We start from the raw sequence: 15,705 nt of genomic DNA on the forward strand, positions 1-15,705 counted from the left end.
ATACACGATCACTTACAGAAACACCCAGCTGGCATCGGTCCCATGAACCATCTGCCTGTCTCACTATGGTCAGACTGTCTGCTAATGCCCGCTTCTTCTATGAACCATTTATATATTTCCCCAGCCTTTTTTAAAAAGTGGAAAACAAATAGCATTATTGGATGTGCTCTGCCTGGCTGCAGCTGTGAATCACAAAACTGGAAATCAGTCCAAGACAGAGTCAGACAGCACATTCTCTGCTTGGTTGCGGAGAGGTCCAAACTGCTGATCTAGCCTCATTTGATCTTTGATATTTTATTTATCTATAAATTTGACATGGCCCTGTTAGGAAACATCTTGCTGGTGTGCATTTTCCCATCCTTTTAGGCTTCTAAAGGGAAGGGGCCTTTGGTTTAGTCTTAACCCAGGGTCAACATTTCTTCTTGGCCTTGTCAGGAGGTAATCACTCTGAAGACAATACAACTTGAGAATTATATACAGCTGGTAGCAGCAGGGATGGGAGAGGGGTTATAGGGGTTTGACATAATTCCCCTTGGCTCTCCACTGCTTACCAGAGTCAGTAATAGATCACAAATACAGATTAGTGAACAGAACCAGATGAACTTAGGGTGGGACCCTTGACCATCATTGTTGTTCCATTCAACTAGAATTAAATGAGTACCACTGCAGGGGATAACATCACGCCCTCTGAATACAGAATGCACAATCCCCATATCTGCAAGGTTACACTCTGACAGTCTATTAATTATCTGATCAACAAGTAAATATTAACTGTAGCCTCTGTGCTTGTCTTAGTTTGAGTTACCCCAGAAGCTGACCCTGAAGATAAAGGATTTGAGTGCAAACCATTCAGTCAAGAATTGCAGGTAACACCAGGAGACAAATGGGGAAGGTAGTATGAGGAGAAAAGGCAGAGAATAAAGGGTCCATCATTTAGCCAGCTGCTACTGTGGGCCATTGGAGCCTTAACTCTTGGGGAAGCTCTGGGAAATGGTGCAAAACACATGGCTCAACCACTTCAAAGGACAAGGGAGCCACGGTGTTTATACACCAGCTCCCAAGAGCCATTGGTTTGAGGACTGCTCCTGAGGAGTAATAATTCCTTGAAGTTTTGGCCTGCCATATATAAAAACAGTAAGCTTTCCACAATTGATGCTGAAGAAAAAGAGCCTTCAAGCACAGAGAGGTCAATATTGGCAGCTGTAAGTTAGTTGAATGGTCCAGTCAACTAACCCTGACCCCTTCAGGGATTTTCAACTGAATGCCCAGTTGAAAATAGGCAGGGCCCTGAAAGAACTTGCTGAAAGCCTGTCCCTAAGAGAGGGGGTTCTCGGGGAGCAAGAAGTTGAAGATACACTTCCTGCATTCTTAATGCGTTCAATTTGGAAGAATAAAAGTATCAGAAAGCAATTCAACAATTAAATGCTAAGTGCCATAGTGAAGACTAAGAAAAATACAAATTCAAAGGAAGGAAAAATAACTATCTGATCCTTGGGAGAGTTCCATGAAAAAGCTTAGAATTAAATTAGAATTTGAAGAATGGGTAGGATTTTGTTTATTTAAAAGAGGGGAAGAAATTTCATTGTATGAAATTTTCTTATTCCCAAAATTGAATATAAAAGCCCAACTTAAAATAAATAAAAAATAATTAAATTGAGGCTAATAAGCTCCCTTTTCTCTTATTCACGTTCACATTACATCTTAGAGACAGTTTATCTATGCCTGCAATTGCACTCCAATAAACCATTTTTCTTTAAATTTCTTGGCATCTCAACTCAATAGTCAAAGATATTTACACCAGATGACTCCTAAATTCCTTTCCTATCTGAGAATTTTAAGAATTATGGTTCAGCAACAAACTATTCAAAAGACCAAGTACATTCTGTTTTGAAAGATCATATTATGGGTTCGGTTAATGATTGCTTCCCAATTTATCTGTTTGCCCTTTCTGCAAGTCAAACCTCAGTTAACCAGAACATGGTTAATCAGAACCTTAGTTAATCACAAAATTGACTGAGATGACAAAAAGCTCAGTAATCAAGACAAATCATCTTTCAATGCAATATTTTTCAAATCAAAAATATGGGGGGTACTCAAGAGTGGGGACAGCTGGGGGGATATCTGGTCACATGTCCCTTTGACAGAGGACACGATGTGTGTGTAAGAGACACTCTCAAGTTCTGATTTGATCCTGGATGAGAGGCAAGACACTGTAGAAGTTTAGCCAAAAGCTTGGACTCAGAGATGCCTGCATTTGAATCCCAGGTCTGCCATTTACTAAACAGGACAGTGCCTATAAAATATGAAACCCAGCACTTGGGGTACTAACAACCCAAAATACAAGGATAATGAAACACCAGTGAATTTTTTTAAAGTGCATTATTGCCAATCATCCAAGAGTGCACATCCCTTTGGTTTCAGTACTTATTACCACTTGACTTTACATACTATGTCCTTCATCCATTGTTTGTGTGTGAGTGAGATGGAATTTAGTATTTCTTACTGGGTACGTGACATTTTAGCCAATATCTACATTTTAGGTTCAGGGGAAACAATGCAACAAAGAAGGACTCTAACATTAGGTGAATGCCATAGAAATTAGGCCTTTAAAAAGTCTGACATTAATTTTATGTGTTTATTATTTTTCTTGTCATTTACATTTCTCTCTCCAACACCATGGACTAGAAAAACGCCATGCACTCACAAAAATGCTTCTTTGTGAGTGTGGCTCCTGGGACAGCCACTCTGTGGAGCTGGCAGTAGGTCACAAGTCAAAGCCATGAGGGGCTAAGACTCTAGCAAGACAAGGGTAAGGTCACACACATAAAAAATAGCTACACGGCAAAGGCTAAGAGCTATGAAGCTTAGCTGAGGTTGAAAGTGGTGTTTGAGGCATTCTTCAGCAGCACCAGAGATCCACAGAGATTAGAACTCAAGTGAAGGGCAATATCTTTCTCCTTTGTAGTGCTCAGGAGTGGCCCACTGAAGCAATTGCTTAGACAGCAGCCTGGCCCAGGGTGACCATATACTTAGTGTTCAACCCCGGACATCTTAGAGAGCAAGATGAGGCACTGTTAATAACTGCCTTGAGACAACTGGTGCAACCAGGAATGTCCCAGTCAAACCAGGACCTAGATCTCCTCTAGCCTTGAGGATATCTTCTGCTTTTTCACTTGGAAATTCAGACCCACCTACTCAGCTTCATTCTGCCTGGGAAGCCCAGCCCTCAAATTCCAAGGTCCCACTAGCTGTCCCCAAAACTCTCACCATTTTTCTTCCCTAGGGATGAATGGCAGGAGGCTCCCCTCTGCCTTTAGCTGTGCCCATTGCTCTCCGGCATCCCCTGGCTGAGAGCAGGAACTAGGGCAAACCAAGTGAGGCAACTCACTCTGGGCACAAAATTGACAGAGGTGACAAAAATCTCAGTAATCAGGACAAATCAGCTTCCAGGGCATTTTTAAAATCAAAAATTAATGTCAAAAATTTATGATAAGCAAAGTATCAAAATGTTTAAATAAAGACAGGATCAGTAGCAGTGCTGTGTTGAGCCAGATTGGAGCCCATAGCAAAAGGAAAAACCAGTAATACAATCCTGTCTTTAACATTTTGGTGTTTCATTTATTATAGATTTTTGCATTAACTTTCATTTTTAAATATTGTATTAAAATATTATTTGTAATTCTTGAGTATTTTTGTGATCCTGTGAACTTTGTGCCTAAGGCTAGTGTCATTCTGCGTAGATAACAATAGCTGCCACTCACTGCATCCACATGAGGTAGGGACTCAAACATGCACATCTTGCATTCACAGTGCCTCCCTTACTGAAACCTGCCCTCTCCCTCAACCAAAATTCCCATAGCAAGTTCCGCTTTCTTTTTTCTTTTCTGTTTTTTTTTTTTTTTTTTTTTTTTTTTTTTGAGACAGAGTCTCACTCTGTCACCCAGGCTGCAGTGCAGTGGCATGATCTCGGCTCACTGCAACCTCTGCCTCCCGGGTTCAAGCGATTCTTCTGCCTCAGCCTCCCGAGTAGCTGGGATTACAGGCGCATGCCACCAGGCCCAGCTAATTTTTGTATTTTTAGTAGAGACAGGGTTTCACCATGTTGGCCAGGCTGGTCTCCAACTCCAGACTTCATGATCCACCCACCTCGGCCTCCCATAGTGCTGGGATTACAGGTGTGAGCCACTGTACCCAGCCCAAGTTCTGCTTTCTTGTAGAATCAAAGAAGCTTAGAGCTGGGGAAGGGTGGGGAATCCACAATGAAACATTCTAATCCTCAACTTCCTTTTTTTTAACATGAGGATCTGAATGCATGTTAGACTAGTTAAGTGACCGATCCAGGTTCACAGAGCTGTCTGGGGCTAGCATCCATTCATTGACTAACTTAAGAAATGTCTTTTTCTTGTAAATTTGTTTAAGTTCTTTGTAGATTCTGGATATTAGCCCTTTGTCAGATGGATAGATTGCAAAAATTTTCCTCCCATTCTGTAGGTTGCCTGTTCACTCTGCTGATAGTTTCTTTTGCTATGCAAAAGCTCTTTAGTTTAATTAGATCCCATTTGTCAATTTGGCTTCTGTTCCCATTGCTTTTGGTATTTTAGACATGAAGTCTTTTCCCATGCCTATGTCCTGAATGGTATTGCCTAGGTTTTCTTAGAGGATTTTTATGGTTTTAGGTCTTACATTTAAGTCTTTAATCCACCTTGAGTTAATTTTTGTATAAGGTGTACGGAAGGGGTCCAGTTTCAGTTTTCTGCATATGGCTAGCCAGTTTTCCCAATGCCATTTATTAAATAGGGAATCCTTTCCCCATTTCTTGTTTTTGTCAAGTTTGTCAAAGAGCAGGTGGTTATAGATGTGTGGCGTTATTTCTGAGGCCTCTGTTGTGTTCCATTGGTCTATATATCTGTTTTGGTACCAGTACCATGCTGTTTTGGTTACTGTAGCCTTGTAGTATAGTTTGAAGTCAGGTAGCGTGATGCCTCCAGCTTTGATCCTTTTGCTTAGGATTGTCTTGGCAGTGCAGGCTCTTTTTTGGTTCCATATGAAGTTTAAAGTAGTTTTTTCCAATTCTGTGAAAAAGGTCAATGGTAGCTTAATGGGGATAGAATTGAATCTGTAAATTACTATGGGCAGTATGGCCATTTTCACAATATTGATTTGACCCAGCAATCCCATAACTGGGTATATACCCAAAGGATTATAAATCATTCTACTATAAAGACACATGTACACACATGTTTATTGCAGCACTATTCACAATAGCAAAGACTTGGAACCAGCCCAAATGTCCATCCACAATAGACTGGAGAAAGAAAATGTGGCACATATACACCATGGAATACTATGCAGCCATAAAGTAGGATGAGTTCATGTCCTTCACAGGGACATGGAGGAAGCTGGAAACCATCATTCTCAGCAAACAACACAGGAACAGAAAACCAAACACCACATGTTCTCACTCACAAGTGGGAGTTGAACAATGAGAACACATGGACACAGGGAGGGGAACATCACACACCAGGACCTGTCAGAGGGTGGGGGGCTAGGGGAAGGACAGCATTAGGAGAAATAACTAATGTAGGTGATGGGTTGATGGGTGCAGCAAACCACCATGGCACGTGTATACCTACGTAACAAAACTGCACATTCTGCCATGTACCCCAGAACTTAAAGCATAATAATAATAATAATAATAAAGTAAAAAAAAAATCTATTGAGCATTTGCTGCATCTTCTGTTTTAGACATTGGGACTAGAGTAATGAACAAAAGTGACAGTGTCTGTGGTCTCATGGAACTTACATTCTAGTGTAAGAGGGCAGCAATCCTATAAACAGTTGAACACAGATACATTTACGTATATTAGACAAAAGCTATGAAAAACTTGAAGCAAGATATAGGAGAAAGAGTGATGGAGTGAGAAATGGGTATTTTCTTATTGTAAGATGGTTGTGAAGGGATTTCTGGTAAGGGGGCTTTGAGCACACACCTAAAGTAAAGGAAAGAGGAAGTCTTGTGAATGAGGGTGCTGGGAGTTAGTTCTAGACCAGTTAATAGTGTTCACTTGGGCACTATTAACATTTTGGTTTGGGTAACTCTTTACTCTGGGGGCTCACCTGTGCATTGTAGAATGTTTAGAAGCTCCCTGGCCTCTACCTAAGGGGTGCTGGTAGTACCTCCCTCCCAGCTGTGACGATCAAAAGTGTCCCCAGACATAGCCAAATGCCCCCTGGGGGCTAAAATCATCCCCTGTTCAGAACCACAGGGCTAGGCAGAGGAAGAGGAAGAGGAAGTGCTAAGTCTCCAGTCAGGCTTCTCATAACTCAGAGCAGCACCATCTGCGACCATTCATCCCAGCTCATTCTAAGCACCCAGAGCTCTGCAGAGTCAGTGCCCCCAGGGGATGCTGTTTGTCCTCTTATCCATTTTATGCTGGCTGTTAGTCTCCTTGCATCCACAACAGCAAAAGCTCCCTGAAGGCAGGAGTCCAGCCTTACACCTCTGTTCCTGTAGAGGCCTGGGCTCCTCAGTAAGGTGGCTGCATGTCTGCACCTCCCATCTGCTCCTCCATGGTGAAGACACTCTCTCCAAGTGCTCAGGGATTGGGGCCAGCTCTAAGAGAGCAATGTGTTCTCACACTGCAGCCCAGTCCATGTCTCCAGTGAATTACCCTCTCCACGTACTGGAGGACGTGTAGCTTTCTCAAAGGGATGGCTTGTGATGAAAGTTCACCTTCCACTCAATTAACCTTGAGAGAGTGGTGTTTTTTTCCTTTTCTTCCCCAGGAGACTTTTTTTTTTTTTTTTGGATGACCTTTTTGAAGCATCTTATTTTCTGGGCAAAAAGCCAAATGATATACTCTCTTCCCAGCTGCAGGGCTGTTGCAGATTTTCAAAGCTGAGGTAAAGACAGCCTTTGGAATAAATGCAAGTTGGGCAGTAGGGTTGGGAAGCATGAGGAAATGCTCTATTATTCCACCCAAGATGTGCCTGGAGGGACGGAGCCTTTGTAGAGGACATCCCTGCAGGACCCACAAGATACAGGGACCTGGAGACCTCAGGGCTGCCAGGATCTCCTCCTAGTTAGGGAGCACACAGCAATACAAATTAAAAAAAAATCAATTCCACTTTGGGTGAAAGTTGAATATTAGTAAGTTATAACAAAGCACATTTTGCCTAGTACTTTGTAGTATACGAAGGTTTTTTTAATATTTAATCTCATTGAGTCTCAGATTCAGCTACCAAATAAGACTAAATCTTATTTAAGACTGGATCAATAGAGTACAGTAAACAACTATAGCCCTTTTTCAGCCAGTTTGCTGGACAATGGTTCCTGAAAGCCCCCCTACCATCCCAGACGTACAGCATCTCTGGTTTGAGGCATGTCCCTGGTGGTGGATTTAGAGAGAAGCAACATGCAGGGGGTCTCCAAAGTCAACTGCATATATGTGCAGAGGGGAACAAATAAAAGAACCCAAACCAGCTCCATTTCCCCATGGAGCCTCAGTGTTGGTAGCTCATAGCTCGGGTAGCAAAGGGAGTTTCATAAAAGTGGCGAGGCTTGCTTTGAATTGCAGTTGGGCCACATTTCTCAAGCCCAGAGGCATTTGAGAGTTCTAAAATCCTAGGAGCAGTGTTTGAAAGCAACAAGTTAGAGAGGGTCACTGGTAGTGACCTGTTTGGGGACCAGGACATTGTGACTGGCAATCAGAAAGGTTATGGAGGTTAAAAAAAAAAAAAAAAGGAAATCTGCATGGCCAAGAACACAGGCTCAGGAGCTGGACTGCCTGGCTTTCCTGTTCTGACTTTACCACTTACTACCTGTGTGTCCTTGGGCAGGTCACTACCTAATTGTGCGTCTGTCTAAACCATCTGTAAAATGGAGATCATGAGAGCAGCTACCCCCGGGGCTGGGGCGGTGGGAGGAGAAGAAGCATCCTGGAGTCAGATGCTGTCCTATGGGGAGACGAGTGTCAAGAATCAGGGAGGAAAGTTGCCGGGAGAGGTGACAGGGAAGCTGCAGACACACACATGTGAGCCTTCGTAGGAGAATGGTGTTGGAAAAAAAATGCTGATGTGACATTGGGATTTTGTTCTGAATGTGAGGTAATAGCAAAGAGCCTGGGCTGGGGATTTCAGGCCTCATCCCTGAAGGGAGATAGACAGAGAAGAAATGCCTGCCCAAGGGAAGCACTGCTGCCTAGCACCTGCCATCTGCAGCCCCTAGAGTGGAGCCAACAAAAGCTGGGCAGCACAAAGGAGCTTTCTGGAAAGGGTTTGCAGCAACAGGCATTAATATAAAAGCATCTCGTAAGTCCTGGCTCCTCTCATTAGTCTCCATTTGCTGTCACAGGGGTCAAGGACCAGTGATTTGTCTTCCATGAAAATGTTCTTCTTGGAACATTAGGAAAGGGAAACTGGCATCACAGGAAAACCCAGAGTGGCCTACAGCTATTTGGCAGGGTACCCCACACTCGGGGTAACACTCAGGGAAAGAAGTCTTTCCTTCCGGCTGTGTGGGCTCCACACTCCCAAATCTCTCTACTCCCACACTTAAAAGTCTCCGTTTTCTCTCTGTGACATCATGCTTGAAATGATTAGCTATTGATGCATTTGATTTTATAAATGCCTCTCCTGGCCCATCAGCCATTTCTACTTCAGTGGATTAAGTTATAACTGGAAGAAAGCTTAGAACCTATCTAGTCCAGCCTCCTCTTTTCACAGAAGGGGAAACTAAGATGCAGAGAGAATTTTAAAATTGCCCAAGGGCAATTTTACTAGCCACATGACAGCCTCTGAGTCCCAGTGTCCTCAAACATTTGTGGATCTGTGACAGAGAGAGTGAGGGTAGAGTCACATGTCAACAGACACCCGGATGAAACTTCCTCAAGACTTTTCACAATTCCACTAAAGTTGGAGAATTTACAAGTGGTTTGGTGCAATGAATATACTGATGTACCGAAAGCTATACTTTGGAGGTAAAAATGACAGTAAAATAGGACAACGATAATAAGGTGCTCTCTAGAAAGCCAGGGGAAGTCCTGAGATGGAGGGACAATGTGTGGCAGTCCATTCTGAATAAGGGTTGATTTTCAGAGATCCCTGAGTTTGTCAGTGCAGGACATCTGCTGAGTAGTTCCATAAGAGTAATATTAGAATCCAAACTCTCCCCAGCAATGGAAAGGGCACCAGCCAAGCTTGGAGATAGTCATTTGCCCTTCACCACCGCCTGCCAGGGATCCCCTTTCCAAGCGCTAAGCAAATGAGAGTCTTAGGGTGGAGACAGAGAGGGCCTACTTGTCAGCCCCAAAGCAAGAGTGCCCCGGCAACTGGGACATTTGCTGAGCTCCATCTCTGTAGACTTTGGCTTATTCGACCTTGTCTCCATGTGCTGTAGAGGAGGATAAAACTCTGTGCTGTTGTGCCCTCACCTCCCTATTTCAAAGAGACTTTACCCTTCAGAGAGCTTCCCACTTGGCCACACTGGGGGAGGTTGCTGTGATGTCATACAAACGTCCAGTGTGTCTTCTCTGCCTCAAAGAAGGTGTGTGACTTTCAGCACACCACCTCCTTGTCTGGGCCTTAGTTCTCTCAACCAAGAAGAAAGGAAGGTGAGCAGCTGGACTGAAAGCATATACCACCTGCAGCCTGCTATTCCCGGGGCCTCGCCCAGTTCCTGGTGCACCAGCCTGCTCAGAAAGCACACACAGAATCGGGACATCTCCAGCCCCCTCCTGGCCTGACATTCAGAGACTAGGTTTGGAAACTAAAAGCTCTCATGCTATGGCCTTTCTCATTTAAGTTTGTGGCTTCGATCATGCCTTTGAGGGTAGCATCCCCATTTATAAGAACCTATAAACACGTTGAAAGCGTGGCCTGACTCTGCTGTAAGAAAAACAAATTTGAGAAAACAGCAGAGACCTGGAGATGGTTGCATTCAGCCCAAACATCCTCAACCTCCCCTTTGCCACATCTCCTTCCTCAAAACCTTAGCCCATTTCCCACCAGGTACCTGGGGCTCTCATGTTGCCCCATCCAGGTCCAATCTTTTTGGTCAGCACCCAATATCCCGGACTCTTCCAGCTTCCTTTAGTACTTAAAACTGCTCTCTAAGATAGAGCCATTGGGTTCTGAGAGATTGAGTTTCCACTGGCATGAAGATGTGAGTGATCTATTCCATTCTCAAGCATATTCCCACCTGAAAGGAAATAATGCTGCCTTCACCCAATGATGGCTCTACCATGGCACCATTTCAGGCAGCCACCAAAGCCAGGCAAAGGAGAGGAGGTAGAAGATGAGACTCCTTACTGATGGTCCTCTGTGAATCACACACTGACTCTTCACCCAATCTACCCACCACCACCTCCATGCTGCAGCACCCTCCCAATGAAGTCTTCCTATTCAGGTGCTATCCCCACATGTACACACTAGGGCTGCCCAGTCCACCTTGCAGAAGGGTTAGCCCAGAATTTGAGATTCAAGGGACCTTCCTGACTGTTCCTGAAAGCCCTTCATGATAGAAGAATTTTCCTCTGTGAAACTCCCAACTTATGGGAAAATAGGGTTGGCAGGTCTGAACTGTAAGAGAAGCTAAGAAAGCCTTAATAAAGTTCACTCTACCCAACAACAAATGCTACGTGCTAAATAAAGGAAATATCACTAACATTTCATGTATCTTAAATTAGTAATAATGGGCCCTAATGAGTTCTGTACTATTAATTCCATTTACAATCCCTCTCTCCTTGGCAACTTTTCATGTTCTTCCTCCCCTGCAGTTTTAATGCGATACATGTAAATCCATTTTGCTTTGTGGCAGAAAATATTCACCCTAAGAAGCACTTAAAATGAGTAGGCCTTGACCTTGGGTGTCTTTAAGATTTTATTGGCTTCTGCCTCCTGGGTTTCACAGTGTGACTTAGAAGCTGGAAGGAAAAAAGGCTTTGACTCACCTTTATTTGACTTGTTTGGTGAAGCTGAGTAGGTGTTGTATGAACCCCTTCTCAATACCTGGTGTCCTAAGTCCAGGCACCTGACCCAACCTTTCCTATGAGATCTCAGCTCCCACTCCCTCACAAAGGCCATCTGAGGCCAAGATTATTTTCTACAATTCCTTTTCATTGCCCCCCAAAACTCACTCCTCCCTTCCACCCAATTTGCCCCTATTTTCTATTTTCTACTCCACCTTTCCCATGTCCTTCAGTTTCTTACTTTTCCCAATACTGAAAATTGCAGGTCACAGTGGCTCAAACAGAGGTAAACCTAAGCCTACTAGAATCTTGTATTGCATTGGGAAAACTTGCATTGGGGAAAGCATCATTGTGGTTACCTTTCAGAGATACTCCTTTGCATTAGGGAACACTGGACCATGTGAGGATGAACCTAGGTGGATAGGAGCTGCCTAGGTTGGGTGTAATTGAGCAATTAATTAGTGAGAATTGCATTTCTCTTTCTTCCTCCCCTGCAAAGGACAGCATCCTGACCATCTTTTAGAAGCTCTAGACTACAATCTATTCCTTAGAACCTCATCTATTTTATGGAACAAAGCTCTGGGACCTGTCCCTCCAGTCTGCTAGAAAGGCTCCCATAGATATTTGAGATCAAAGTGCCTAGAATAGTTTCAGCTCTGTAAAGAGGTCGTTCTGAAGCAAAATCCATGTGCACAGTCAGAATCAGCCTCATATTTAGACAGAGCCCATCATTGCCTGTGTGATATGACATGAAGGGCAACAAAAAGGCCTTGAAATTCTGCCCAAACTTACTTCTCTCACAAGTGCCTAAAATTGCATCGTTTGAGCATAATCATATATTTGGGTTAAGGAGAATTACTCATCTTCAGCATTTTTTAAAAAGAGACAACAATTTATAAAAGATTGCAACTCATCAATTCTTCGTAAATACTGTGAATTAATGCTAGATTGTTTTCCTCCCTGGGAGAGTCTGAGGTGATGTGGGGCCTGGGATTATTGCAGGTGGGAATTGAAAAGGGAAGACGTGGTAGGAGGGATGCAGAGGGTGGAGCAGAAAGCGTAAGAAACAAACTGCACAGTTTTCCTAGTTGCCAGTGCTACCTGGAAGAAACCTGGCCCTCTCCAAGCACCAGAAAACATCAAGTTATCATTGAATGAGTGAAAAACCCCAAACAAAACCAATCAATGTTTCTGTTTTCATAATTCCATAGAAAACAACGTTTCTTTTTCCCTCTTCAGCAGTTTCAAACACAGGGCAAATATTTTCATACTACTCTATAAATCTAGATTCTGTTGAACTACAGGGAATTTCCTCTTCAACTGTCCCCCATAACAGCATCAAAAAGGAAAATAAAACCTCAGTACAAAAGGCATAGACTTTTAGAGCCAGCCAACTTGCGGGAACCAAGCCCTGGTTTCCATGGAGAGTCCACGGGCCAGAGACTTGCATTCCGAGCAGGCAAGGGACTTGTACACTGTCTAGCAGGGCCCATAAATTCCCTAGCTTTAGGGTCCCCTCGTGATGCTGCCAGGCAGGAGGCATATATTGTCCACTAGAGTCTGAGGGTTCTGAGATATGTGATTTGAAACGGAGCAGAGAAAGAGTGTAGTCAGGGAGGCTGTTCTGCCTCAGTGACTGTTCCAGGTAATTGAAATGTATCCCTTTAAGTACAGGGATAATTCTGAAATTTTAATTATTTAGTAGGAAAGCTTTCTAATCAGCAGTGTATACTTCCTTGAGAGCCACGTGGTAGATGGAGCAGCTTTGGAAACAGGCGGCTTGACACTTGAATCCCAGTTCTACAGTTACAATCTGAATCAATCTGGTTTTGCATTTTTTTTAATTTTTTTGTTTTGTTTTAACATCTTTGGACTTTAATTTCCTCACCTGCAAAATGGGAGAATGCCTACTTTGCAGATTTTTGTAAAATAGAAGTGAGGCACTTAGCAAACTGCTTGTCACCTGCTAAGCACTCAATATATGGCCTCTATTATCATGACACCATTATGATGATTTCTCTCCTTTTAAAACGAAATATGCTGAATGTATGTTAACTTTTTGTTTCCCTCGGAGTGATCAATGTCCATTCTTATAATGTGCTCTGATACAGAATATCTTTGGAAGCCCAGGAAGTATACAGGCAGGTTCAGCCCACCCCAACCCCTGACGCAATAACCAGTTCCATCTTCTCCTACTCACATGGTGGCTCTGCTGTCCCTTTCTTCCATGAACCAGGGACCATGAGTTCACTGTAGAAAGCCTGTACTCCCTTTGCTACCTTAATCTGGGTTCCCTGTAAATTGGGCAAAGGGGGAGGCAGTTGGGTAGCCTGGTGTGGAGCAGTGATAAGCTTTGTCATTTGAAAGCCTGAACACGACACCCAGCAGCTTGACCCACCAGCTGTGTGACGTTGGTCTCCCAAATGTTCAGTTAGGGACACAGATGACAAAGATGATCCCTACTTAATGGGGTGATGGTGAGGATTAAGGGAGATGATGAGGGGGGAGCCTCTAACATAGCATCTCATGCACTGTAGATGCTCGATAAATGACAGCTGCCATTATTACGTAAAGGCCACATTGCGAAAAGCAAGGCCATTTATCTACATCTTCACATTTGACACATGCAGGGAGCATGGGTGGTTGTAGCCAGGTTTGTAGGACATTCTAGAATCCTTCAGTCATCTTTTTGTGTGTGTGCATGCTTCCGTTTCTGGCTGGGGTTTTCCCAGTGTTGCATGAGGCAGTACCACAGTGCACAGAGGTGAATCCCTAGTGGGCAGGTGGTGAGCTAGTCACTGAACCCTATGGACATGAAGATCTCCTAGTGAGAGTGTGTGGATATGGGCTAACCTGCCATGTAATAAGCCCGTGACACATGGCAGACCCTTGGCAAAAGGCTCGTTGAACATGATTAAGCACTTTATGACAGGGCTTTGCCTCCGTATTGATGAAAGCAGTGTCCCTGCTCAGAGCCAGCTGAAAAGGCTCAAATCAGTCCAGGAGGATTAGCCCTGCCCACCCTATTTCTAATTTTTCTGATTACCAGGATGTTTTGCAAGGTTAGTAGACTGGTTGGAAGAACATACTTTAAAATAAATGAGATACAAGAACGCTAACGCCTAACAACCAAATGGTCTGGGCAGAATCATTTGTCTTCCTGGAAGCTCAGTTTCCTCCCTTGTTAAAGGATAATAATTCCACCATGTCTACCCAACAGAAGTAGTGGGGTGAAGAGTAAAACGAACATTTCCTCAGGAACCTAAATATCTGAGTTCTTGTCTGGTCTTTGCTACCAACTAACTGTCTGATTTAGGGTAACTTAGCTTCTCTGGACCTCAAATTTCCCATCTCTGAGATAAATGGTTTGGATTAAATAACCTCACAAGTCTCTGTCAGCTCTGAAACCCCATGGACCTCTGAGAGAGAGTGTGTCAGGTCATAGCTGTGACTCTGTTTACAGAACTGCACAGCATCCTATAAATGTAAGGTCAGCTCCCACCTGGTACCTAGCGTACTGTCAACGTTCAATGAAGTCTTGTGGATGAATTAGTTATATTGTGTCAAATAAGATAGATTCAAAAGCCACTTTTGAAAAAAAGAAGCAAAGAAATAAAGCCCGGCATGAGTGGCAGATGTTCAGGTGGAGAGGGCCAGTGCTGTGCGTAATTTCGTGTAATTTCTATTTTTTGCTGCTCTTTGCCTGCCTTTGTGGAATGCTAGAAAGTCTAGAGGGACATTTGCAAATCTGCCCACTGTCAGTTCCACTCGTAGAGCAGTCCATCTTCTTGGGAGTGCGTGTGACCTTTGCAGGTTGTCGCATCCTGGGCACGGCACCAAGTGATCCTCCAAGGGGGCTGGTGTGGAGGAGCAGGCCCTGAGCCGTGGGGTGGTACAAGCGGCAGTTTCTGGGCCCAATGCCAACCTCCAGATAATTGCCGGCAGCAGGAGAGAGATGGTGGAGGTTGGTAGAGCCTGTCTCTGACAGATAGATTGTCCCCTTCTCACCGTGACAGCATCATGGCAGTGAGAAGGAAAGCCAAAATGCAGGCAGGCAGGAGAGAAGTAGGGAAGGGCACAAGGAAAGGGGCAGCCTCAGAAGGAGAGAGACAGAAACAGACAATGGAAGGGACAGCTAGAGAAATAATAGGAAGACAAGAGATGGTGGTCACACAGGTACCAGCTAAAGAGAGAAAAAACACATACAGAGTGAGACAGAGGAGGGTCAGAGAGAGAGAGAAATGCAGAAAGAAACGGAGAGAAGAAAACACTATCTCTGTCACAGTGTCATCCCCTTGCAAACCTCTGGAGATATTTGGGGGTTCAGTGAGAGAAGCAGTGCCTCCAGAATCAATTGCATATGTGTGCAGAGGGGAAAATAAAAGAAAGCACCCAAACAGCTCCATTTCCTCATGGAGCTGCACTGTTGGCAGTTGTGGTAACAAAGAGGGTTTTGTGAAAGCAGCCAGGCTTGCCTCCCATCCCAATTTTCTATCATCTCTCCAAGGCCCAGGACAGGGCAGTGAAGGGCATGGGCCAGTAGTCCATGATGGAGGTGATCTTTTCTTCCCTCCTCCTCTGGCCTCCCAAAGCAGAAAGTATCTTGTCATCCCAGACCTGGGCCCGAAGCCTCCCTCCCTCCCTTCATCCATCCATCCATGCATGCATCCATCCATCCTTCTCCTCCTCCCTTCCTCAGGGCCCTATCTCAAGAAAACCATGAAAGCATGCCTGGGAC

General features: G+C 44.1%; 1 protein-coding gene and 1 long non-coding RNA gene across 8 annotated transcripts in view, besides 1 other annotated feature; one reads left to right on the plus strand and one right to left on the minus strand.

The window, feature by feature from the left end:
* Nucleotides 1-15,705, plus strand: part of SLC14A2 (solute carrier family 14 member 2) — a 515,726-nt gene that overhangs the window by 281,998 nt on the left and 218,023 nt on the right. The gene's annotated exons all lie outside the window — the stretch shown is intronic.
* The window catches only part of SLC14A2-AS1 (SLC14A2 antisense RNA 1), a 142,177-nt gene that overhangs the window by 85,074 nt on the left and 41,398 nt on the right, over nucleotides 1-15,705 (minus strand). The window lies entirely within an intron of this gene.
* Nucleotides 6,361-6,430: an enhancer, noted in NCBI's record as "active region_13262". NCBI's record gives its function as "activates an Ori minimal core promoter by ATAC-STARR-seq in GM12878 lymphoblastoid cells {active_cell/tissue: GM12878}" and the evidence as "EXISTENCE:reporter gene assay evidence [ECO:0000049][PMID:35858748]".

The sequence above is a fragment of the Homo sapiens genome, chromosome 18 (assembly GCF_000001405.40).
Source record: "Homo sapiens chromosome 18, GRCh38.p14 Primary Assembly".
Taxonomy (NCBI): domain Eukaryota; kingdom Metazoa; phylum Chordata; class Mammalia; order Primates; family Hominidae; genus Homo; species Homo sapiens.